The 27448-nt window shown below is 38.5% G+C and overlaps 1 protein-coding gene and 1 pseudogene across 3 annotated transcripts; one reads left to right on the forward strand and one right to left on the reverse strand.

The window, feature by feature from the left end:
* The first annotated feature begins 39 nt into the window (after window positions 1-39).
* On the forward strand, window positions 40-27057 carry ARL14EPL (ARF like GTPase 14 effector protein like). Of its 3 annotated transcripts, NM_001393974.1 has the most exons (5): window positions 40-73; window positions 18700-18792; window positions 19025-19129; window positions 21582-21721; window positions 26293-27057. In NM_001393974.1, the coding sequence occupies exons 3-5, from the start codon at window positions 19034-19036 to the stop codon at window positions 26513-26515; spliced, it is 459 nt and encodes a 152-aa protein (NP_001380903.1). In that variant the 5' UTR covers window positions 40-73; window positions 18700-18792; window positions 19025-19033; the 3' UTR covers window positions 26516-27057. The 3 variants fall into 3 exon arrangements, with proteins under 3 accessions (NP_001380903.1, NP_001182510.1, NP_001371953.1); NM_001195581.2 differs by lacking the exon at window positions 18700-18792; NM_001385024.1 differs by lacking the exons at window positions 18700-18792; window positions 19025-19129.
* Window positions 19432-19910, reverse strand: RPS25P6 (ribosomal protein S25 pseudogene 6; annotated as a pseudogene).
* Window positions 27058-27448: the final 391 nt, after the last annotated feature.

Below are 27448 nucleotides of genomic sequence, written 5' to 3' on the forward strand. Positions count from 1 at the left end.
CAATACCTGTGTTATTGCCCTCACTTCATCCCATCACGTAGCCATTTGACCATTTTACATCATCATAAGAAGCGTGAGTACAGTACAATAAGATATTTTGAAAGAGAAAGATACCATATTTGCATATTTTTAATTACAATGTATTGTTATAATTGTTCTATTTTATTGTTAGTTACTGTTGTTAATTTCTTACTGTGCCTAATTTATAAATTAACTTTATCTTAAGTACATATGTACAGGAAAAACCGTAGTGTATATAGAGTAGGATACTATCCATGGTTTCAGGCATCCACTGGGGACCTTGGAAGGTAGCATATAATTCCTGATACATAGCTGTGTATTCTGAGTTTTTTGTTGTGGTGGTTTTTGTTTTTGTTTTTTTGAAACAGGGTGTCAGTCTGTCAATGCAGGCTGGAGTGCAGTGCTGCCATCTCCGCTCGCCGCAGCCTCGACTTCCTGGGCTCAGGTGATTCTCCCACCTCAGCCTCCTGAGTAGCTGGGACTACAGGTGTGCACCACCATGCCTGGACAATTTTTTGTATTTTTAGTTGAGATGGGGTTTCACCATGTTGCCTGGGCTGGTCTTGAGCTCCTGGGCTCAAGTGATCCACCTGCCTCAGCCTGCCAAAGTGCTGGGATTCCAGGTGTGAGCCCCCACACCCGGCCTATAGCTATGTATTCTTAATTGTTACACTCTAGTAGAAGTGAAATAACAACTCTCTGCTAGGTACATATTACCACCTCCTTTTACTACAGGAAATCCCCGACTTACCGTGGTTTGAGTTACTATTTTCATACTTTCCAGTGGTGCAAAAGTGATACAAATTCAATAGTAACCATACTTTGAGTACCTACAGAGCTATTCTATTTTTTTCACTTTTAGTGTAGTATTCCATTAATTACATGAGATTTTCAACATTTTATTATAAAATAGGCTTTGTGTTAGATGATGTTGCCCAACTGGAGGCTAATGTAAGTGTTCTCAGAACATTTGAGGTAGACTATGCTAAGCTATGATGTTTGGTGCATTAAATGCATTTTCAACTTACTATAGGCTTATGGGGACATAACTTCATCATAAATTAAGATCACCTGTAATTTTTTCACTGAAGAAAATCTAACTAGATGAATAAAATTATCTTGATTTGGGTGGTACAACATGACTTCAAAATTCTAAATGGAATTTAGAGGCACAGAATGAAAAAATGAAAAATACAGGTAGATATTATCTACTCTATTTTAAAAATGTAGATCCTTGGATCAAGATTTTCAAAATAATAAGTTGCAGGCTTTTTAGTACAAACTCTTTCTACCCAAGCTATATTCTTAAAAGTATATTATAACTTATTTTGTTTGCTAAAAAGTTTGTTTCGTGAAAAAAAGGCTGTGTGTGTATTTAAAATAGAGTATATGTTTGTGGGAATAGTGTGTATGTGAACACTTGCCTGTCCTCAGCTGAACTGCGCTTTAATTATTTTGATTGCCATGGAAAAGAAATAGCACGATATAAAGGCTTCCTCACTTTCTTTGCTTTCTCTCACAAACAATGCCAAGCAATGAGATGAGGCTGTCACCTTCTCTGCTCTCAGGTTTCTACTGAAAGTGGACTATTTTGATGACGTGATGAGTCCTAGACTCTCAGGATTCACAGATACACATCAGAGGATTAAAGGGGCTCTAAGCATGGGGTTTGTGAGAGTTTTGGGTTTTCTATCCTCTGTGAAATGATCACCTTGTCTTTGAAAATAGTTCTTTAGTGTTAGCATGTCTTACTTGAGATCAACAAAGGCGGTTAGTCCCATCATTTCCTTTGGGTAGGGACAATCCTTAGTGATGCCAGGGCTCTCAGGGTTCATTTAGGAGATTGTCCTGAGAATGCCCCGTAACAGAGAATACCTATGGTTTCTTCCAGAAAGTGTTCCTTTGACTTGTCAATAGTGAGCAGGAGGCCTTTCTGATCACTTAGCACTAGAGGGTGGCCTCAGTATTTATGAACTCCTGTGAGAGGGCGGCAGGATGAAAGTACTAGTAGTAGCACTAGAAATGAAGTATTATTTATTTCTTCACAAGGTTGATGTTTTCCTTCACTTCCCCCAACACATACCCCCATTTTTAGAGAAATGTTACCTCCTTTTATAAATAAGTTCAGAGAGAAGTTTTGACCTGCTCAACTAGAAGTAGTACAACGAAGTAGGGAAGAGATGTGATCAGCAGGAAAATTCTTCTACCTGCTGAGTGTCTTCTGTGGGTGATATACCATTTGAGCTATGTGCTATATATGCCTTGTCTCAGCCTCAAAATACCCCTATGAGGCAGTGTGTCCAGTAGGCTTCAGTTAGAAAAACAGAAACCAGACTAATTTTGTTTGTTTGTTTTAGCAAAGAGATTTCAATGTTAAGGATTTGTTAAACAAGTATTAGAGAAGTGAAAAAACAAAAGAAGAACCCCAAGTTATAGCTCAGGAACTAGTTCTCAGTCTCAAAACGGGGGAATAATGGGCAAAGGTTAAAGTTACTAGAATGTAGAAGTTTGGATGAAGGAGTATAAGATTTTCATTTTGTTTGATTTCACCCAGATGTCCTTATTCCAAATCTCAGGATCTCTCTCCTTCCCAATCAATGTTCTAATGCTTGCACTTGAGCCTTGGCAAGGCTCTGAATTCAACTTGCATTGTAATGATATATCCCGCAGAGCAGCTAGAAAACTTAAGAGACTCTTTTACAGCTGCCTTAGAAGTTTTCTGGTTCTCTGACCATGTCTCAAGCTGGTCATTTTCATCTCCTAAGCACTCCAGTGCACACAAAATAGCTATCTCACCATATTATCCTCACAATGGTTAAACAAAGCAGCCACTTGGTCCGCGAGGACACTTGCTTCAGTAGGTACTTCATTTGTCATCAACCACAGTGATTGCTCATTAATCGTGGGGGTACTGGGAGTCAGCACTGTATTCAAGGCCAAAGCCATGATCAAGCCTAAGCTCAGAATCTTATCTTGAGAATCTATTTCCTAGAATTCTCTATAGTTGGTCAGGAAATCAGAAACCAAATCGGCTTTTTTGACTGCGAACTGATTACAAGGAATGGGTATTGGAGAACCAAAATGACAAAAGAGTAAGGCTGAGAAAACATCGAGGCAGGAACTACAAGAAACAGCTAGCACTTCTAGGGTAGGGGTAACAAGGGAGGAGGTGGATTTATTAGAACCTAGAAGCTGGTGTGGCTGCTTCAGAATCTCAGAGATAGGGCTCAGCCCAGCCAGGATCCAGACCTCAAGGAGAGGGTCAACTTGACTGGGGCTGCTGCCTCAAAAACTCAGAGGAAAGCCCCTTGGAGCTGGACTCAGACCTCTGAGGAGGAGGCTCTGGCCAGCTGCCGCTGGTATCTCTGTGGGGAACATACTAAGCTGGTCTGGGAGACTGAGGGAAGAATCCTGAGAACTGGAATTCAACAGCCACTGCCGGAAGGAAAAACCATTGCTGGGGTGATACCGACGGAAACTGGAAGCAAACAGGAAGGAGCAAGCAAGCACCTTCTTTCTCTTCCAACCTTCCACGTCCCTCAACACCCCTGTTGGCAGAGCTGGCAAAGCCAAAATGTGGTTTACATAGTCCGAGTCCTAACATCACAAAGCAGAGCATTAAAAGGTGGTTTTGGAATTGAGAGACAATGGCTTACTCACCAACTCAGGTCAGTATAATTGTTCTAACCTCAACACGTGGGGAAATAGGGGCTTAAGGTGCTAGCAGAAGCAGAAGCTAGAATTTGAGACCCATGCTCTCTACTGCTAAACCCCATTCACCTTTGGGTTTTCCTTTTATTTATTAATTTAGGACATGGTTAAGATACCATTACACTCTGAGAAGCCTCTCTGAAAGCTTCTAAAACACATACATCTTCCGTAGACCAGAAATAATACAGTGTCAAGTGGGAAGCTCCTGGAAATAACAGGCAGTGCTTCGTATAGAAATGGATGTCCAAACAAGGAAAATTTCCAAGATAATTATAAGAATAGTTAAATTTGGACTCGTTCTGACAAGAAACTTTAGGTAAATGCATTTAAATAGATTGTTGCATCTACTTTGCAAACATTATTTAGACATGTTTTTAGGGGCTTATAGAAGCTCTAAAATGACTAGCTTCATGCGGTCAAGTCACTGTTTGGGTTTCTACTTGCATTGAAAAATTATAGAATGTGCAGGAATTACAACCTAAGGATATTTTATTGATATAAATAAACTTCATTTGCAAAAATATAACCTAGAAATATGCTTACATGTCTCCTGAAACCTCACATTAGCTGAAATGCTGTTTCCTGTAGTTTCCATAAACCATTGTAACTATAAAACAGATTTAAGTGAATCCAATGTTTAAAATACCAGAAATTTAATATATCATAAATTCCAGTTTCAGATGTCAAATTTGTGAAAACATCAGTACTAAATTTATTGATGCATTTTGAATATTCTTTTTGATGTTTTCCTTTAAAGGCAATTAAAGATTTTTTTTTTTGCTTTTTATATGTTTTTCCATTTTTAATTTGCAACTCTCCTCCTCTGAGCAGCCCTTTTCTCAGCAGTAAAATGAAACCACTGCATTAGGGGTTTTCTCTAGGGACCTCTTGGAAGTATTTTATGGTTTCCATAATTGTTGATTAAGTATAGCCAGTTCTTGACTATGTCAGGTACAAGGGGTGGAGCTACTCTGGGACAAAGAGAAGGCCCAGCATGGCTCTTGCCTCCCATCCCATCCCCTGCTTTAAATAGGAGAGATTCACTTTTTTGGTTTCATACATTGAAGTTTATTTAGAAAAAAATGGTAATAACAATGTTTGAAACACATGGACTATATGGTCTCCAAAGCCCTCTCCAGATGTGACACCGCATTGACACACAGCTTGTCCACTTTTCGAGAATGTTCTGCATAGTCCATCTTGCCCTGAAGCCTCTGCAGGTCCCACACATCCTGCATATCACAGAGGCCCCTTCCTTACCTCTGAAATGACTCACCTTTGACTATAACAGAGATAAACAAATCATACCTAGTGGAGACGAAGATTCTGGAAGCAGTGTCCATTTTGGCTCATTCCTGGTCACTAAGATACATGCCCTTCACATGGCATTCTTCAAGTAACAAGAGTTTTTTTGTTTGTTTGTTTGTTTTTAACTGTTTTAATTCTGGATTAGGGGTTTTGTGCCATCTGCTGGACATAGTTATTTCACACATACAAGAGAGTTCTACATTATTCTTAGAAGTATTTTTAAAATATTAATAACTTTAAAAATTGTGAAATACATGCTTATTACAGGAAATGGGTAAATATAGGAAATGATAAAGTATAAAAAATCCAGAGATACCTATGATTACTATCTAACTGTTTTCTTACCTGCACACAAGAATGTACTTTGTTTGGTTTTAGTTGGTGGTTTTTATTTTAACACCAATTTGAGATAAACACTGCATTGATGTAGGTTATACAATAGCAGGAAGAGGGGATGCATTGCAAATGTAAGGTTCATGGAGAGAAAATGCTCTCAGTCACTGCTGTGTTTGTGAACCTTAAGGTTTGCATTGCCTATCATGCACAGCAGGAATATTATGCTCCAATTTAACAGGGCAAGGTAGGAGGAGAGGTAGGGATGGCGGAGTGGGTTAGAACCTGAAAAAAAAAGTGCCTTATATTGCTCAGACTCCTGGGAAACAGATCACTAAGTTACTATTCACAGTGAAAAATGTGCCATTGATCCTTTCTATTAGTGGGTATGCATGAGTACCAATGTCCTAGTTGCTGTGGCAGATGATGCCATAGAAATGAAGAGTCATATAGATCCTGCCTTGAAGTGGGAGAGGGCTGATACGGGAGACAAGTGTGTAAATAACTATGAACAAGCTTGCAAACATAGAAACAGAGGTGCTTATTCTAACTGGGCAATGGGGATGATTACACAATGGTGATTTTAGACATACACTGGGGAAAGCGTAAGTGGGTCCTGGAAGTGGGAACATTCTTGCACTCTAGCTAGAATTTAGTGTCAGGCTAATGGAAGGATGCGGTGACAACGAGGCTGGGAAGGTAGAATTAGGTCATGTCATGCAAGGCCTAAAATATCATGCTGAGGACCACAAAGGACCACAAAGGTTTTGGAGGAGGAAAGTGACACAATGCAGACAAGAATTTTAAGGAGAATAACTTCAGTAGCGAAGTGTGGAGATTAAAAAGACTCAAGGCAGGGAAACCAGGTTAGGTTAGAAGTTGGCCTGGGAAACATGGGGTGGGGAGGGCGGGTGTGAAAAAGATGAAAATTCAATGCACTGAGGAAATAGAGCACATTCTGAAAAGCACGTTCTATGACTAACTACTTCTAAAAAACAAAATTTGGACCCAGTTGTAAAAGAAATCTGAGAGCAAATACATGTTTCTGTGGATCTTTAATGGGAGGCAGAACCTTCCAAAATTAAGTGGCTCACCATGAGAGGCCAAACCTGTAACACTTTGTAATTACAAGCCCCAGACAGCCTTTCAGGGAGTCCCTGGGGCCCAGGGGTGGCGGAGGAAATGAAGCAGAATGAGGAAATGCACAGACAAACCGCCCTTGCTGTCTGGTAGCAGGGTGGGGGAAGAAGGTGGGTGGCAGTCAGCTCTGCAGTTACTGGTCTTGATCCACAAGAGGACAGGAAACATTTTAGACTCAGTTGTACCCCAGGAGGGAGTGTAAGCCTGGGGCAGAAGGTCAGGTCCCGAACAGGGTTTGGTGGGAAGGCTCCCAAGTCAACACACCTAACCACTTGCTCTCTTAAATTCATCCACTCCTGACCCCAGGCCCTCCTCCTATCATCCTTCAACAAATAGGTGCTTGGAAAGGATGGCCTTCAAGCAAAGATCACAGATTAAACAGAAAGAACCAGAATGGGATCTCTACAAAGGTATCAGGAAAATCAAATAGCTGGTAAGGGACACATAGAAGAACAAATATACTACAAAGCAGAATAAAAGACCAAAAAAACTTCTCCATGAAACAAAAACATTAAGAAAACACTTCTTCTTTGAAACAAGTGATCAAATCAAAGATAGAGATATGATAAAAGGAGAGATGATACAAAGCTGGGCAGGCAGGGAAGAACCTAATGAGATTTATATCCCGAAATGCTCACATTAAGGGGAAAAAAAGAATGAAAACTAATGAGCTAAACATACCTCTTAGAACAACAGAACATGAAAATATACCCAAAGTTCTTAGAAGAATATGACATAGAAAAAAAAACAAGAAAGCTAAAACTTAGTTCTTTGAGAAGATGAGAAATCTCTGAGAGAAAAGGTACAAATAAACAGTATTATGAATACATTAGATAATTACAGATGCTGCAGACATCAATGATAACATGATGATATAATGAACAAATTTATGCCAATAAGGTTGAAAACTTAGAAGAAATGATTACATTCCTAGAAAAATATGATTTACTAAACTGTCTGACAAATTTTAAAACTCTCTACATTCTCAGATCTGCTTTTGTAATAATAATGTGTATTGATCTTCCTTCTTAACAAATATGTTTCCACAACATTATTTTAATGACTACTTCATATCACATTATTTTGTTTTGACTATTAAGTTGCTGCCAAACTTTTTACTCTCCCAACTTAGCAACTCGAAACCTAGGAATTAATACAAGATTTACTCTTGTAGCTAAATTTTTGCGAAGATCTTTGTCTTTCCTTAGAATAAATTTCCCAAAGAGGAATTGCTGGGTCAAAGATAATGTCTATTTTAAAGCTTTTGACATATACCAAATGGCTATATATAATTTCTATTATAGGCATTTGGTTTAATCACTTCTTTAATGCCTTCCCTTCACTCCTGTTATATACCAAATGGCTATAATAGAAATTATAGAATTTATATACAATAATAGAAATTATAGCCATTTGGCTATAATCGAAATTAATAGAAATTATAGCCGTTTGGTATATAACAGGAGTGAAGGGAAGGCATTAAAGGAGTGATTAAAGAGTGACGGGAAGGCATTTCTGGAAAAGAGAATAAAGGCACAGTTAGATACAGCAAGAACAAAATGTGTCCTAGGACTGGGACGTAGTGGACGATATTAGTAAGTCAAAGTAGTAACACAATATTAGCATATAGTTGTGTTAAAAGTAATAGTAAATATAATAGTAATAATAGTAAAATAAGGAAAATAATTTAATTCTTTTAATATAAAACAATTAAACTGAATATTATTTCACTTATACCACTCTCTGTTTCAAATTAGAAATTGTGTAAAGAGTTTTTATGCTGTTTGGGAGGCCAAGGTGGGCGGATCACGAGGTCATATCGAGACCATCCTGGCTAACACGGTGAAACCCCGTCTCTACTAAAAATACAAAAAAAAAAAAAAAAATTAGTCGGGCGTGGTGGCGGGCGCCTGTAGTCCCAGCTACTCGGGAGGCTGAGGCAGGAGAATCGCATGAACCCAGAGGTGGAGCTTGCAGTGAGCTGAAATAGCGCCACTGCACTCCAGCCTGGGAGACAGAACGAGATTCCCTCTCAAAAAAAAAAAAAAGTTTTTATGCTGTGCATCAAAAAACACAATAGAATATTTTTTAGAGAGGTTTTAGTTTTATAGTAAAATTGAACAAAAAGCACAGGGAGTTCTCATGTATTCTCTTGTTATCCCCCAACAGTTTCCCTGATTATTAACATCATGCAGTAGTATGGTACTTTTGTTATAATTCATGAGCCAATATTGACAAAGTTCACAATTTATTTTAGGGTTAGTTCTTTGTCTATTACATTCTATTCTATGGCTTTTGGCAAACGTATAATGGCATATATCCACTGCTGAAGTATCATATAGAATACTTTCACTGCTTTATTATTATTTTTCAATATGTAAAAATATATGTATTTATTTACTGGCATATAAGGCATGCCAGTTCTACAAGGAAGTTTTGGGGGAAAACACTGAAGTAGTTTTATCCTATTTTTTTGTTTTGTTTCTGTTTCTTTGTTTTTTAAATTGCTTTAATGATTTTCCAAAATGGAGCTGCTGGAGGTCCTGAAATTGCATAACTCTGCTTACTCTCCTCTCTGTTGACTTTATTTCACTTACCTGCTAGTCACTCCATTTTTGTCACTGGGAATGATGCTCATTAGAGTCTATATACACACACAGAAGCTACTGGAGTGCACTTTGCAGTTTAGCCATGTCAGAGCCTAGACAACCCCTGACACCCCCACTAGAGCCCTCTGAAATCTGTAGACTTCTCCTACCTTCAACTCTTGCTCACAGCAGCTCCATTCACTTAGAATGTCCTTCTCCCTCCCTCTTTACCTGAGTTTTTCCCCGTGCATTTTTCAGGATTCACTAATTGGCACCTTTTCTAGTCAGTCTTTTTTAAAACAAATTTTTTTTTGAGACAGGGTTTCACTCTGTCATGCAAGCTGGAATGCACTGACTCAATCACGGCTCACTGCAGCCTCAACTTCCCAGGCTCAAGCAATCCTCCTGCCTTGGCCTCCTGAGTAGCTGGGATTACAGGCATGAGCCACTATGCTCGGCTAATTTTTTTATTTTTTGTAAAGACAGGGGGTCTCACCATGTTGTCTAGGCTGGTCTCGAATGTCTGGGTGCAGGCAATCCTCCCACCTTGGCCTCCCAATGTGCTGTGATTACAGGTGTGAGCCACAATGTCTGACCAGGAGTCTTTCTTGACATCTTGATTCCCAGGGACAGCACACTAGTCCCTCCGCCCGCTCTGCCCCTCTCAGCTGCACAGTGCCTTGAGTACTTGTGATGCACATCTTGTGCTTATTTGATTACATATCTTCTTCTTTTAGACCTTTGAGCACTTTGAAGAAAGGAACTGTGTCTTATTTGCCCTTTTATCATTGGCACATTGTCTGGCTCATTAAGAAGTATTTATCTGAAGGGCAGTGTGGATAGATACCCTTGAGTACATCCAGTGAAGGAGCTACTGGTCCTGGCTCAGGTCTGTAGTATTCTATATCAGTGCCATCCACTTCTGGACCCCCATGATGACTCCCACTAGAAAGTGTACCTTTTCAAAAATACAACTCATAACACCTTCACAGTAGAACAGCAGCTTGTTAAAACAGTAACCACAGCAAACCAGAAGTAGTAGTACCCAGACAATAAGGGCTATTCTTCTTGGAGCCTTTCAATTGGAGGATTGGAGCAGCCCAGTGAGAGCTTGTTCAGTAAGTGCTAAGAAAGATGCTAACAGCTTCAGGAAGATAAAGCTAGAGAGTTTCCTACTGTAGCCCCTCCCTGGATACTTATAACTTCCAAAGCCAGCAACTTTTTAATTATTTCATAAACCAGACCCTATATCATATAGAACTTCTTAAAATTACTTGGCTGCAGTAAGAATTTTCTTATAATCCTTCTTCCTTACATGAAGGATAGTATCCTATAAATACTCTTTGTATTCTGCTTTTTAAATTTAACAATATATTTTGGAAATTGTCTTATATAACTCTATAGAGATCTCCCTTACTGTTTTCTATTTTTTTACAGCTGCGTAGTACTACATGTACTATGTACTACGGTACTTGGGGATGTACTATAGTTTTTTCAACCACTCTCCTGTGTATGGGCATTTGAATATTTCACAGCTATAAACAGTGCTGCAATGGATAAGCTTATGAATTGTGTCACTTCTAAGTACAGAGTATACTCCAAATTAATATACAGATAGCTAAAAACTGGTAAAATAAATTTAGTTTGGTGCAAAAGTAATTGCGATTTTGCCATTGAAAGTAATGGCAAAAACTGCAATTACTTTTGCACCAACCTGATAATACCACTCATAACTCATAAGCATGAAGGTTTTACTTTCTGAGAACTAAAGGGTAAACTAAGGAGTGCTTTAGTATGTGAATCCTTCATTTGAAAAAGCAACCAATTTTACATTACATTCAACTTATTCTCTAAGAAACCTGAGAATATCTGAAGATGAAAAAATATAATTTTATAGCAAAAATCATGTCAAAAGGTCAATAATTTCTGGACTTGCAAATTTAATGAGGTATTATTACCTTTGAAAAATACTCTTCAGTCTTTTAAAAGGAAATTATCTTTTAAAAAGTGATATAAAGTTCTCCTGAAGTTTTATTAGTTAAACCATTATTTCAAAAACTATATTAAGTGTTGCTTCAGAAACTTGTAAATAATACAGGATAATTATTTTGTATGACTTAGTTTCTTACTTGAATTAGAAAAATAAAAGGAAGTAAGGTTCAGTGCCGTGGTGCACTGTTATTTCTTGGCACTTTAATTTTAAAAAAACCTCTCAGTTGGGACTTTTCTTGGTTGGTTACAAACCTTATCTTTTGGAAAATTTTCCTCTGTCTAGTTTTAAGAGCATTACTACCTTTGCCTTCGGCCCTTGATGTTTTTGTTGTATTTCAGTGTTGCTGTAGTACATTAGCAAAACTCCCTTCTCCAGCTAATTGTCTAAAAGCAAGGTCAAACATTGGCCAAAGAATTTACTGTGTAGGAAGTGATTGACTGTGGAAAAGTCTGGTAGGATTTTTACAAGCTTTGCATTTTATCAATCTGGAACTGGCAAGATGGAACACATTTTTAATTATGCAAAATTTGCTGTGTAATCTCAAAAATATAGCAGTGGCTTAATACATAAACATTCAGGTCAAATATATTTATTCTGGGACCACCTTAGGATTTTTGCATCATTGCCAGATGGGTTGCAAGCTCTTATAATTGAAGATTTTGTTTCCTTTCCTTGTTCTTTGCGGTAAAAGTAATTAGTAATGAAATAGCAGTGTTTACCCTATAATTCACGAGTGAACAGAGCAAGTATTAACCTGCCAGTGAAGTGGGTTTTAATAACTCACAACATAATATCCAAACCCTGGTGGCAGAGGACAATGTTTAGAGGGTGGTAATTTAGAGATTAGTATACGTCTTAGACACTGTTTATAAACATGCTTTAGTTTTCTCTTGGGAAAACAGCTTTTACTTAAATGGTTTTAACACTGAAGAAAAACATTATATATATATACGTGCGTGTGTATATATGTGTGTGTATATATATATGTATATATATGTAGTGCTATTAGTGCTATTTACACTGAAGTACAAAATAGCAAAGGGGACAATTTGGTATTAGTATTAGTTAAACTTTTGAAGTTGACATATAACAATAGAGTAAAAGCTTAACTCTAGATTAACTGATTATTGTGAATGGAAGATGAGAGAGAAGGAGAACTCTCATAATCCGATTTCATATGATTTTAGAATAGAGTCATGGTGGAAGAGTGAGTTAACATTTACATCCATCCCTTCCTTCATTTTCTACCTCCCCTCGTCCCAGCCATTATTATACAGCATTAAACTGTAGAAGCACCTTTGAGGCCTTCTCATTTTCCCTTGAGGGTTCTATGGTTTCTCAGCAAAACAAAGGAAAGAAGGCAGTACAGTTTTCCTTTCTTTCCAGTATTCTTTCCTTCTTTTTCATCCAACTTAAAGGTATGTGTTCTTTCTCTTTACCACCCTACTAGTTCGTCTTCATGAGGCAACTCACATGAAGAAGCAGGGAGTAATAGAACTGTGAAACTTCATCATTTGAAAGGCGCACCTTTACAAATGATGCATCCTAAACCCGATGCCCTCTGAGGCTAGTAGAGAACGAAGAGGAAAAACAAGCCACATCATGTAGATTCTGAATATATATTGCTATATTCGTGTGTTATGCTTAAGAGTGAAAGATAATTGGAGTTCCTTTAATTCAGTGTAAATGAAAATAAAAATAAAAACTAAGAAATGAGCATAATAGGGCCATTGGGATTTGGAAGAAAGAATCTCCACACTTAAATATTTGAGGTGAGTGCTTTTGAAGGATGTTTATCAGGAAAATGCTGAATATATTTACCAGGTTAATGCTGAAAATGGCACAGTATTCTGGTCTCATAAAAGTTTTCATCCTTTTCCACTCTCCATTGGTGGAGGGGGGTAAACAGAAGGGGTTGGTTTTTCACAAACCTTAAAATTGCAAGAAATAATTTGAATGTATAATCCAACAGATCCATAGTACAAATAAGGTGTAGTAGAGAGGCCCTTTTAGATGCTGATCTGTCAGTGACCCAGACAGGCCGTTTAAGGGAGTTGGTTTTAAAGTGATGCCAGATGGTAGCATTCGTGGCATTAGCAATAGCAACTATGTGGTGGCATTGTGTTCCACAGATGATGAAATTCTCTGCTGAGTGCACTTTCAAATTATTTTAAATATACTGTATGTATTTTCACATTGTTTCATATAGACCCACAGAAGTGTGTGTGTGTGTGTGTGTGTGTGTGTGTGTGTGTATGTGTACGAAAATACAACTACAAAAGTATGGCTAGGAATCTGTGGATACTGTAGATAAAGTTGCTTCTAGAGCATTAACATTGATTATCTAACAACACTCTCAAAGGCTTAAATCAAAGTACTTTTAATTCTAAAGGACAAATGGCAGTGGAGATTTTTTAGAGGTTATTGTCTTGTGGTTTTGAAAACAGCTGAAACAGCTTGGAGAGGGCAGCAAGGGAATGACTTAATTGACCACCTGCACAGGCGTCCTTTCTCTCTACCAGATATGCCCCTGGTGGGATTGACTCACCTGTCAATTATCTCAGCGACCTATAAATTTAGCAAGTATAGGAACTCAGACTAGAGACAGAATGAGATTCAAATAGCTTGACTCTCTTGTCTTGTATATATGTGTGTGTATCTTTCACTTCTAAATATATTCCAAGAGATATCTTACAGATAGTGTCCCTGAATAAGTGGCATTATCTGCTGTGAGTAAGAACAGAGACCAACTTTTAGGCTAGAATTTAAATGGAACGTTTCTTGCTTTGATAATTTGCTAGTGTCCATAGGGGTAATGATGGAAAAATACTCACTCTACCCCATGCAAGACACAATCAACTGATGAAAATTCAACTCTACCTGCCACAGCATCCTAAACATAAATGGAAGTGATAAACGTATGAGTCATTTTGCCTGGAGTGTCGCTCAATGACCTGTGCCTCAGAGTGAGTGTGAAGATAGAGGTATGGACCTGGTGCCATTCCCTCAAGGGATGTGGTTCCTGAGGCCTCCACACCTTGCCAGGGTGTGGTATTCTGAGGCTTAAAAGTAAACATCATGTATCCATCATAGATAATTCAGCCATCATGGCTCCTATGTATAAGCCAGCTGCTTCATCTGATGCTGACCCTAAGGAATGATAATCTGTTCCAGCGCTGAAGAAATGCCTGGCTATGTTGGGTTATTTCATTGTAGCATTTTCTGAAGGGATTTTTAAGGGTAATTTCATCTGTATATGACTGCTATTGACTTAACTGTGTCCTCTCCAAATTCATAATTGAAGTCTGAATTCCAGCATGACTATATTTAGAGATAGGGTCTTTGGGAGGTAATTAAGTTTAAATGAGGTCCTAGGGTGTGGGCCTAATCTGATAGAATTGCTGGTCTTGTAAGAGGAAAACAGCCTGTCTTTCTCTGTGTGCATACCAAGAAAAGGCCCTGTGAGGACTTACTAAGAAGCAGGCAGCCTGCAAGCCAGAAAGAGCCTGACCAAAAGCTGACTCAATTGGCACCTTGATCTTGGACATCCCAGCCTCTAGAGATACGAGAAATAAATGTCTGTTGTTTAAGCCACTCAGTCTGTGATATTTTGTTATAGCAGCCTGAGAAGACTAATATAGTGACTTTCTTCAGAATCCAATCCTGAAGTCAGATGTGGCTCATGTGCCCTAAACGGGAGGCTTTTCTTTCCTAGTATACCCTTTGAGTGTTGCGTTTCTGAAGAAGAGCTGAAGGAGGAAAACTTGAGATTATTTAAAGTGCATGCTTTCCTATTCCTTCCCCAGGCTTCTGTGTAGAGATGGTAATCACCAATAAAATAAATCTTGGAGCAGTGTTGTATCCTTAAAAGGACATAGTACTGGGGGTCACCTAAATCTGACATCCAAACCCATGCATCCTATTAGTATCTTTGTGACTCAAATGACTCTTTCTGAGCCTTGGTTTCCTCAGCTGTAAAATACAGAAAATTGTACTGCTTAGGTTCAACAAGGTATAGACAGCTGTGTAGAACTATGATTGGCCAGAGAATGTATGATCTAATGCTAAAAGGCCGAGTGGGGAAACCCAGCAAGTCCCTTGTCTCTACATTCTCCCTGGACTCTCTGAGCATGTGTTCCTTCCTTCTGGGTATAAGGCAGGACCCTCTCTGGAATGGGTCTTATGACCTACAGTTAAACAAGGTAGGTCAGATATTGATGATTTCTTTATGGTCAGTTTCTACACAGATAGGGTGGAGGAAAAGTTAGAGTAATATTTTAAGGTTTTATGGCTGGCCTTGGAGAAAAGGGGTGCTGGTTTCTGTAACCCACCTTGGGGAAGAGGAATTCTAGTTTCTATGGCCAGCCTCAGAAGAGAATGGGGCTGAGAGATAAGAGGGCAGAAGACAGAGAGAAAGTTTTGCTTCTGAGGCTATTTCCGAAGCCTTCATTTTGAGATATTGCTTTTAAAACCCCAACACTACCCAACGTGCTTAATGAAGCGGTTGATTTCTATTCTGACCCAAGCCTGTTTTCTTTCCCCATACGGGTACTAAACAGTTGCTCCATCTTCAGATCACACTTTGACTAGCTCTGCTCTAGGAGTCTGATGCTTGGGGGAGCCTCTTCTCTTTGTGTTAGAACACTTTATGGGTCTTTCATAGGCAATCTGACACAATGTCAGGACAAATCAGTTTATTAACCTGATTTCACACTTTTTGTATCCCCATCAAATGCAATAGCTTAGCATACATATGGCTTCTAGCCTGCTTGAAGATGAGCATCTTGTATAGTTTAAATGATCCTGAGCTGGGAACTGTTGTTTCTCATCACCATCATCAGTGGAGATGGTGGCAGTAGGTTCTCCCTGCCTTTTGGCAGTTCTTAATCTTATTTTTGTGTCACGGATCCCTTTGGCAGACAGTGATATCTATGGACCATTTCTCAGAATGTTATTTTTAATTTTATAAAATAAAACCTGTAAGCTGAGAAAGGAAACCAATTATACTGAAATACGCTTATCATAATATTGTGACAGTAATACATGTGCCCAACTGTTAACACATCAAGCAAGATCTAGTAGCATGTCTAAGAGCTACTGTTATCTTGAAGAAGTGATGAACATAAGTAAAACTTTGACATCTACGGCAACTCGAGTGGGATCCCTCGACCAAAGTTACTGGGATCAGGTAACTTTGGTCCAAGTGTGGGTATGACAGAAGATGAGCCTATAAAGGTTAGAGATGGCTATGATGAACCTTCACTGATATACCAGAGGGATGGGATATTATTGGCAGAGAGGAGTCATTGAAGTATTTTAATAGGAATGAGATAAAGAGATTCCTGATTTCAGAATATTAACAGGGCTGGAATGTATTAAATGAATTATGATGTCTGGGAGGGGGAGATAATACAATGTTTCTCATTTATGATCAGGTTATGTACTGATAAACCCAAAATATTTTAAAGTAGAAAGTGCATTTTTGGCATATGATATTTTCAATTTACAATGGGTTTGTTTGGACGTAGCCCATGGCAAATCAAGGAGCATGCTTTCACACCATCATAAAGTCAAAAAGTTCTAAGTCAAACCATCTTCAGTCAGGGACCATCTATATGGGCAATAGTTTTACCATCAGATGGAAAGACTACATGGAGAAAATTATACCTACTTTTCCTACCCTAGTATTTCCTTTAATAGCCTAATGATAAGGTTCATCAGAGAGCTTATTAATTATGCAGAATACCAGATTCTTTCCTGCAAATTACAACCTCAGTAGGTCTGAGATTCAGAAGAAAATTAGTGATTTTTGAAACAGCTCCATATGATTTTTATCTTCTACAAGTTGAAAAACTCTTCATAGGAATGTTTGGCTGATCAGGTCTGACATTGCATGTGAGAGTATCAAAGCAAAAACTGATGGAGACAAAGTGTAATTAATTAAATTAAATTAATTATTTTTTCTTTCCAACTTTTATTTTAGAATCAGGAAGTACCTGTGCAGGTTTGTTACAGAAGCATATTGCATGATACTGAGGTTTGGATTATGATGGAACTCATTAGCTTGGTAAAGAGCTAAGTACCCAATGGGCAGTTTTTCAGCCCTTGCCCTCCTTGCCCTTGTGATCTTTTAAATGTGTCCTTTCTTTCATTCATAATATGCTAAGCCAACAAATAGTTTGAAGGACCATAAAAGAGAGATAAGTTGGCTATGAGAGGGCAGTAAGAAACTCCAGCAGTGCTATAAAACACCACATATAAGTCTTTATGGCAGTGTCACTGTATTTTCCAATTAGAAATAACAGTTATTATAAATTACATTTTTTCACAGCCCCAAGTATTTACTTAACGCACCCAAAAAAATAAATTAAAATTCTCCAAAATAATGGCAGTAGAAATTATGGCAGCAAATGCAAAGACTGAAAAGTTAAGATAAACAAAATTAAATTCACCACTGAGCCTTTAATGTGTTTATTTTGTATACATATGTATCTGCTTATGAATTCTATTTATGAATATATGCATTTTAAAATAGCTGTTATTTACTTTTCCTGAGAACCATTGTTTGAATTTTATAAGGAGAAATAACAAGGTGATTTTTAAAAGAATGTGAATATTTTATTTCTTTCAAGTTTTATTTTAGACACATATGCAGGTTTGTTACAGGGGGATAATGCACTTAGGTAATGAGCATCATACCCAATAGGTAGTTTTTCAACCCATTTACCCTCACCCAGTAGCTCCCAGTGTCTATTGTTGCCATCTTTCTGTCCATGTGTAGCCAGCGTTTAGCTCCCACCTAAGTAAGAACATGCAGTATTTGGTTTTCGTTTTCTGTATTTGTTCACTTCAGATAATGGCTTCCAGCTGCATCCATGTTGCTGCAAAAGAGATGATCTAGTTCTTTTTATGGCTGCGTGGTATTCCTTGGTGCATACTTACACACTATTGGTGAGAATGTAAATTAGTCCAGCCACTGTCGAGAGCAGTTTGGAGATTTCCCACTGATAGAATTGGAATTTCCAATTGGTCAGCAGAGAGGTGATGCTAAATGAGTCAAGCCAACATGATAACGCCTAACTCTTAAGTTACTTCAGTAGAAATGGCACCCTGTAGTCAGCAATGGTAGTTGATGAGAATCAGGGAAAACAGCAGGGCCTGTGGAAGCCTCCTCTGGAGAGTGGTGTTTTCTGATAGAACATTGCAGACCAGCCCTGGACTGTCACTCATGATTACCATATTGTATGGGCTCCATCTCTCTCTCTCTCTCTCTCTCTCTCTCTCTCTCTTACACACACACATGCACACACACACACACACACACACACACAGACGCACGCACCCTGTATATATACTACTGAAGTAATTTAGAAGAAGTAAGTTACAGGCATTTTAGCAGTGGGGTTTTATGAAAACCTGATTACCATTTAGCACAAGCTGCATTAGAAATTTATCAGAAAAGTTGAGTGAGGAGATCAAGGCTTTGGGGAGTCACTGTGGGAATGATACATGAAGAGGTGTCAGCTGAAACCATGAGAGTGGATGAGCTTTTCACAACATTACTGTGTACATATGGCATTAACGTATCATACTTTTTCTTTCAAGAGTGTGTGTAAAGAAGGAAGAATGGAGTTCTAAAAACTCAGAGTCTTCTTAATCCTGCTTAAGAGAGGTTTATGATGCTAAGGACTGTCAAAGGTACTATTGATTTTCTCCTGGAACCCCCGGCAGAGGAGAGCCTCAGTAGGGTGGTCTGGGGGAGTCAGAGGCAAGGTTTAACAGTGAGTGGGAGAAAAGGTTCTGGGAGTACAGATACAGTCTGGTTTTGAATAAAGTGAGACGTGTAGGGAGAGTAGAAAAGAATCACCAGATATAGTTACTGGAGATAGATGATATTAATATGTTTTACTTTTTCCAATTACTTTTTAAGTGATCAGAGATGAATGAACAATCAGAGAAAAACAATTCCATTCAAGAGAGACACACAGATCATAGTTTTCCTGAGAAGAACTGTCAAATTGGACAGAAACAACTGGTATGGCACACAGATTCTATGATTCCATGCTACTGGGGAGTGCCCCCTCGAGGATCTCTGAGATGCCCATGGATGTGGGTGGGAAGGTGGGCCCAGGCAGGACCTCACAGGGAGGAGCTCTGCCGCCCAGGCTGATAGAGCTTTCCCTCCTCCCCACTGCTCACTGCGGGCTGCTCTCGCCTCACACATCTCCTCTCCACCTCCTGTGTACCCTGATTTTTAGCCCAGTGTTCTGTACAATAAAATTCTGCTTTTTGTGGAGAATATATACAAACGTTTTTATTTTTATTTTTATTTTTTGATTTAATAAAGTTTTATTTTTCCAAATGTACAGCTGGTTGGACCTATTCATGCATCTTCACCAGCAGCTGGAGCATCTCCACCCTTGGTATTTCTGGTGTAAATTACTTGAGCTCTGTGCTTTGAAACCAGTTTGATAAGTCCTTTACTAAGGAGCTCCTGAAGGGCTGCCCTGGCCAGGGAGCCTCGAATCTTCAGTCTCTCAGAGACCACAGCTGGGGTTATAAGTTTATAGTTGGGAACTTCCTTACAGAGTTTGTCATAGGTAGCTTTGTCAAACAAGACTAAGTTATTGAGCTTGTCCCGAACTTTGCCTTTGGACCACTTCTTCTTTTTGGCCTTGCCCCCGGATTTGTTCACTGGGTCTTTGTTTTTCTTGGCTGACTTTCCAGCGTCCTTCTTCTCGTCGTCCTTGGGCGGCATTGCGAAGCTCGGAGAGTAGCAGCAGACACCGCAGCCTTGCAAAGATGTCGGACAAAAAAGCTACAAATGTTTTTATTTAATGAACCTTTATTTTGTTATTATTATGTCACGTTATGGCTCTAAAACTGTATGTATTAACTCATCTAATCCTTATCACACCATACTATTGTTAACTCCATTTTACAAAGAGAGAAACTGGGGCCTAGAGATGTAGCAATTTGCTCAAGGCCCACCACTAGTACGTGGCAGAGCCAAGGCTTGAGCACAGGCAGGTGACCCTGGGTCTCTGTTCTTAACCTCTTGCTGTGCTACTTAGAATAGTAATCGCTTCGTACTAAGTTGTATGTATATGTCATAACCATATCTAATGCAGAACAGTTTAAGGTTAAGTTTATGAAACAACCATATACACCAAGATGAAATTTAAAAGAAACATTATATTATTTTAGACTTACTAGACTCTTATTAAACTAAATAAACTGCAGAAAAGTCCATGACATTCTGTTACTAATTTGTTACATTGAAATTCCTACATTGAAAGCTTCCCTTTTGTTTCCAGGTGGGGTATTTCATGTATATGTCAGCCTATATGTTTTTGTGCTTCTGAGATTATTTTCTTCTACAATCCTTCAAAAGAGCATTTTCTTCCCTCATGACATGTGCTACATGTTCACAATAAGTTATCAGTACAATATTCGATTGAAGCATTTTGTTGTTTGTCTTCCAGCTCAGGCCCCATTTAATTTCTAATTGTCTTTCAGCTCAGGCCCCATCTAATTTCTAATTACAGTGGCTCACACCTGTAATCCCAGAACTTTGGGAGCCCAAGGCAGATGGTGGATCCTTGGAGCCCAGGAATTCAAGGCCAGCCTGGGCAACATGGTGAAACCCCATCTCTACTGCATATGTACACAAAAATTAGCCAAGCATGGTGGTGCGTGCCTGCAGTCCCACCTACATGGGAGGCTGAGGTGGGAGGATCACTTGAGCCCCGGGGATTGAGGCTGCAGTAAGCCATGATCATGCCATAGCACTGCAGCCTGGGTGACAGAGCGAGACCCTATCTCAAAAAAAAAAAGAAAAGAAAGGAAAAAAAAAAAACCTCCAGAGACTTTTGAAAATGTCCCCGTATGCCCTAGAAAGTCATCCTAGCAATATTTCTCTTGTTCCAATCTGGCTTTGACTGAAAGTCGATCCTTCAGGTGGCTGAGTTCTGAATTGGAGACCCCCCGCGTGGAGGCCAGTCCCGGGTAGGGAGTAGCTCCGAAATGCATCCCAGGGCACTGAAGGGGAGTGCCGGATCTACTTTGGGTTCTCACTGTGGTTTGAGACACTACATGGGCTTCTTTAGCTAACAGCCGAGGAAGGGCCTCTACTCCTTCATCCTTACCCACATCAAATGCTAATTCTGATGTGCATCCCCATCAGATTTGGAAAGCTGAGTGGCGTTTTGCGGTTTTAAAAAGAATTCTTCTATTCCCCTTGATTGTTTTTTACATTTTTATTTTATGAGTGTTATACTATTTCTTTATTCAGAAAGAATGGCCCAACTTGAGAAAATGTACACCATCTTTTGAAACTTAATTAGATTAAATCGTTTATGTCTTTGTGTAAAACATATATACTTTCATGCCTTTATGGTGAAAGTTACAGAAAGTTCATTTTGGGGAAATGTAAAACAGATAAAACTATCTGGTTCTTACTATTAATACATTTATTTGTTTAATAGCAACAAATAGAGCGGCAGTTAAAATGCTTGGCATTTCGAAACCCTGGACCACAGGTAGCAGACTTTAATCCTGAAACAAGGCAGCAGAAAAAGAAAGCCCGGATGTCAAAGATGAATGAATATTTTTCTACCAAATACAAGTAAGATTCTGACTTATTGTATTTGATCTGTGGGATTATGAAATGCATGAATTCTCCTTGACAAAGCAATGAAAGATTCCCTCTTTTTATTATTTATTATTTAAAAATATCTCCTCTGAAATATAATAGTACCCATGTGTCTGGACGTTAGCAACCTTAAGAAACAGAAAAATAGACTATAATCCCGAATTAGGAATCGATTTTTTAAAAAGGCTTCAATAGCCGTGTAATAGAGTAATGGCTTTAGTAGGAAAGATGATTTAAAAGTAACAAAAATGTATCATTAGAAGGATAAATAATATAACCATGGGAATGAACTCAGGATATTAAATGGGCACAGGACTATCATCAAGTACAATGATTGTTAGTGCATCGTAAGTATAAACTAAGTAAACTGGCTGGGCACGGTGGCTCACACCTGTAATTCCAACACTTTGGGAGGCCAAAGTGGGTGGATCACTAGGTCAGGAGATCTAGACCATCCTGGCTAACACGGTGAAACCCCGTCTCTACTAAAAATACAAAAAATTAGCTGGGCGTGGTGGCACGCGCCTGTAGTCCCAGCTACTTGGGAGGCTGAGGCAGGTGAATCGCTTGAACCCAGGAGGCGGAGGTTGCAGTGAGCCGAAACCATGCCACTGCACTCCAGCCTGGATGACAGAGCAAGACTCCATCTCAAAAAATAAATAAATAAATAAATAAAATAAAAAATAATAAACTAAGAAAACTATAAAGGAAAATGATAAATTTAACTACATTAAAATTAATATGCCCATTAAAAACTCCATAAAAACAGTGAAAGACACACCATAAAGTAGGAGAAGTTATTAATAACATAAAAAATCAGTATCCAAAATATATGAAGAATCTTACAAGTCAATAAGAAAAGTGTAAATATCCTAATAGACAAATTAATAAAATGATAAACAGACATTTCATAGAGGAAACAACAAATAAACATTCAGGATACCGAACCTGATCAGCACATACATAGAAGTGCCATACTCCCCAGGGAGTCAGAATTTAGTCTGTTGACATCAAAGCTGATGAAGCTATGAGATATGAATTAAGTGTAAAAAGGTACAACCACTATTTAAAAACAGCTCAGTGTTACCTATGTGCCTTATGACCTAACATCTTCACTCCTGAGTATAAATTAATATCTTGGAAAAAGTCTAATACATGTATAGGGAGATATGTTTAAGAAGTTTCATGGCATCACTGAAATAGCAAAGAAAATAAACTGTTAATAATCCAAATGTCCATCAACAATGGAAAAGATAAATAACTTGTGGTATATTTATACAGTGGAATACATATAGAAGTGAAAATATTTGAACAGCTACATGTACCATCATGGAAGAATCTCAACTCATGATCAGACTAACAAAGCAAATTACAAAAGGAAAATCACAATATGTTTAGGGATACCTACATATGTGTCATAACTAAGACCAAAACAAGGAAGTGACTTTATATATATACATATATATATATAATTTTTTTTATTATACTTTAAGTTCTAGGGTACATGTGCACAATGTGCAGGTTTGTTACACATGTATACATGTGCCATGTTGGTGTACTGCACCCATTAACTCCTCATTTACATTAGGTATGTCTCCTAATGCTATCCCTCCCCACTCCCCCAACCCCACAACAGGCCCCAGTGTGTGATGTTCCCCTTCCTCTGTCCAAGTGTTCTCATTGTTCAATTCTCATCTGTGAGTGAGAACATGCGGTGTTTGGTTTTTAGTCCTTGCGATAGTTTGCTAAGAATGATAGTTTCCAACTTCATCCATGTCCCTACAAAGGACATGAACTCATCCTTTTTTATGGTTGCATAGTATTCCATGGTGTATATGTGCCACATTGTCTTAATCCAGTCTATCATTGTTGGACATTTCGGTTGGTTCCAAGTCTTTGCTATTGTGAGTAGTGCCGCAATAAACATACATGTGCATGTGTCTTTATAGCAGCATGATTTATAGTCCTTTGGGTATATATGCAGTAATGGGATGGCTGGGTCAAATGGTATTTCTAGTTCTAGATCCCTGAGGAATCGCCACACTGACTTCCACAAGGGTTGAAGTAGTTTACTGTCCCACCAACAGTGTAAAAGTGTTCCTGTTTCTCCACATCCTCTCCAGCACCTGTTGTTTCCTGACTTTTTAATGATCGTCATTCTAACTGGTGTGAGATGGTATCTCATTGTGGTTTTGATTTGCATTTCTCTGATGGCCAGTGATAATGAGCATTTTTCATGTGTCTATTGGCTGCATCAATGTCTTCTTTTGAGAAGTGTCTCTTCATATCCTTCGCCCACTTGTTGATGGGGTTGTTTGTTTTTTTCTTGTAAATTTGTTTGTGTTCTTTGTAGATTCTGGATATTAGCCCTTTGTCAGATGAGTAGATTGCAAAAATTTTCTCCCATTCTGTAGGTTGCCTGTTCACTCTGATGGTAGTTTCTTTTGCTGTGCAGAAGCTCTTTAGTTTAATTAGATCCCATTTGTCAATTTTGTCTTTTGTTGCCATTGCTTTTGATGTTTTAGACATGAAGTTCTTGCCCATGCCTATATCCTGAATGGTATTGCCTAGGTTTTCTTCTAGGGTTTTTATGGTTTTAGGTCTAACATTTAAGTCTTTAATCCATCTTGAATTAATTTTTGTATAAGGTGTAAGGAAGGGATCCAATTTCAGCTTTCTACATATGGCTAGCCAGTTTTCCCAGCACCATTTGTTAAATAGGGAATCCTCCCTGACTCATTTTATGAGGCCAGCATCATCCTGATACCAAAGCCTGGCAGAGACACAACAAAAAGAGAGAATTTTAGACGAATATCCCTGATGAACATCAATGCAAATATCCTCAATAAAATACTGGCAAACCAAATCCAGCAGCATATCAAAAAGTTTATCCACCATGATCAAGTGGGCTTCATCCCTGGGATGCAAGGCTGGTTCAACACATGCAAATCAATAAACGTAATCCAGCATATAAACAGAACCAAAGACAAAAACCACATGATTATCTCCGTAGATGCAGAAAAGGCCTTCGGAAGTGACTTTTATAACATCAAGGTACAGTTCCTTTTTGAGGGGAGGGTAGAGGGATGCAATGGGTGGGGATTGAAGAGGACTTCACTGCTGTAACACTCTTTTGTTAAGCTGGACAGTGGGCACACAGAAGTTTGTTTTATTCTTCTTTATCTGTGCATGTAGTGTATATATTTTGCATGATTTGATGTGTATAATTCAGGATTTTACCAAAAAAAAAAGCATCAAATGGGCCGGAAACCATAAAACCTTACCAACACAGGAGAATATTTGAGTTAAGGCAAAGGGAGGACAGAATCTGACCTGTGGTATAGGTTGATTTCAGGACCATCTACTCCATCACTCTTATAATAGATTTAAAATATCCTCTTCCGCTAAATTTCCTGGGGTTGCTTAGGAAGAGTTTCATTCCACAAATAAAGTACTTCAAAAGTGAATCTTCATTAGAAGGCATTCTTGCTAAAGCGTGATCATCAGGCAGCAAGTACACATAATGACTAATCCTTTCCCTTCCCTGCATTCTTAGGAAAAGGAACAGGATGGAACGATATTACTTAGCGAACAGAAGGAGAGGAGGCATTGTGCCTGCTTAGGGACAAAGGGTGCAGGAGTATTATACATAATTTTGCCATACTAGCTTAGGACAACCAGCCTTTTGGACTTCAGTGGTAATAACGGCTATCAGTTATACAGAGGTATTTTTGTTGTTCTCAGGTTTTGAAGCAACTCAGTTTTGAAGGATTTATTTCAAAATGGTTGGGTTTGAGAAGGTAGTAGGATTCCTGTGAAAGTCCTTTGTCCCTGGCCATGTTGTAGAGGCTGACAGAGACAGTCTGGACTCTGGGCTCTCCTCTGGGACAGAGCATCCCACCTTCAGTCAGAGCTTACGATGTATGATCCTCCAGTCTTGGTCACCTCCTTTCTCCCTCCTCACTGGGTAAAAAGCAGAATCAGAAAGGAACAGAAGAAATGGCACTTGGAGACTGTTAGCAAAGGTGCTTTTCTTTCTTCAAATGATTATGGTGTAATAACTGACAGTTCTAATTTTAGGTAACAAAAATGTGGTAGTTGCATTCAGCATAGTGCTTTTAAGAAAAAAATAATCTGTTAGGGAAAAATCTATCAAGAATGGTAATATTTTAAAGAAAACTTTGGGGGCATTTGTAGGAGGAAGCTTTAGTTAGCTATTCCTCATAATTTTCTTAGGTAGATTGCTGCATTTCCCAGCAATGCTGGAAAAATGAAGTGTTACTCTAGATGACAAGCCTGGCTGCACTGGAAGTTGTTTGATCTCATATTGACTGAATTTCCCGTGACGTCACTGCCGTACAATATTCTGGAGTGTTTCTGGTAATCCCTGGAGTTCTGGTCCAGAGTACCAATGTTTCTGGTAATCTCTGGAGTTCTGGGTCAGGGTAAAATGGTCATGTGTATGATGTTGATTGTACATTAATTTATTCTCAATGTTGAGGATGATTGCACTGTCATCTTAATGTCATGCTTTTCCTTTGTAGAATAATGAGGAAGTATGACAAAAGTGGCAGGCTCATCTGTAATGACGCTGATCTGTGTGATTGTCTAGAGAAGAACTGCCTGGGCTGCTTCTACCCATGCCCGAAGTGTAACTCCAACAAGTGTGGGCCCGAGTGCCGCTGCAACCGACGGTGGGTTTACGATGCCATCGTCACTGAGTCAGGAGAGGTCATCAGCACGCTGCCGTTTAATGTTCCTGACTAGGTGCTCTTGTATATGGACTGATTTGTTTCTTCTTCTTACACATTTAAGTTGACCTCTTTCTTTTGGGTGAATTTTAGGGCTTGGGGGAAATATCGAAAAAACATACTGAAGACTCATGTTCTGTCAAGCCCCAGAACAATGTAGAATGGGCAATAATTCTGTAACCTTCTTAACTGTGTCAACAATTTTCAAGTCCCTTAACTTGCAACCAAAGAATGTAACAATGGAGGGATCAGCATTTCTCATCAGCACCCTCATCTCTACTCTGCCTTCAAATTAAAACTCTCTTCCCTCTTTGCTGATATCTGAGAAAATGTAGCTTTAAGATTTTCAAAACTCTGTAGTTGAGAGCTTTTCTTACATAGAACATAGAATCTTAAATTTATAATATCTAGTTGTCCTTAGAATCTTATACATCACTAGCTGTAAATCAGAATTGCCATTTGGATTTTGAAGAAAAACTGTGACTTTGCACTGTATACCCATAGCCTCATTTTTTTATTGTTCATGTTTTAATAACATTAAAATGAAATTTAGTAATACTTGGTAGTATTTTTAATCATTAAAATTTGTATTGTACTTGTAAAATTGAAAAGTTAGGAATTTATTATCCTAAAAGCCAGGAGTTTACATATTTTTGATTTCAGAAGCAGTATTTCAGGATTTGTTTTTCATAGAGAGAAAACAAGTTATACAAAAATGATTTTCTGTATGTTTGCTAATTGAGTGTGTTGATAAGCAATTGACTAGATAAATGATGTAGTCTTTTCAACTTTGATACATCATCAGAGCTATAAAATATTGAATTCAGCTTTCTTTGAATTCATTTTTTTATGACAGTCTTTTTTTTAACCCTAAGTCAATGGTTCTCATTCATGAGAATTGCCTAGAGAACTTGTCAAAACATAGATTTTTGCAGCCCCACATTCAGAA

Source organism: Homo sapiens, chromosome 5 (assembly GCF_000001405.40).
Source record: "Homo sapiens chromosome 5, GRCh38.p14 Primary Assembly".
NCBI lineage: Eukaryota > Metazoa > Chordata > Mammalia > Primates > Hominidae > Homo > Homo sapiens.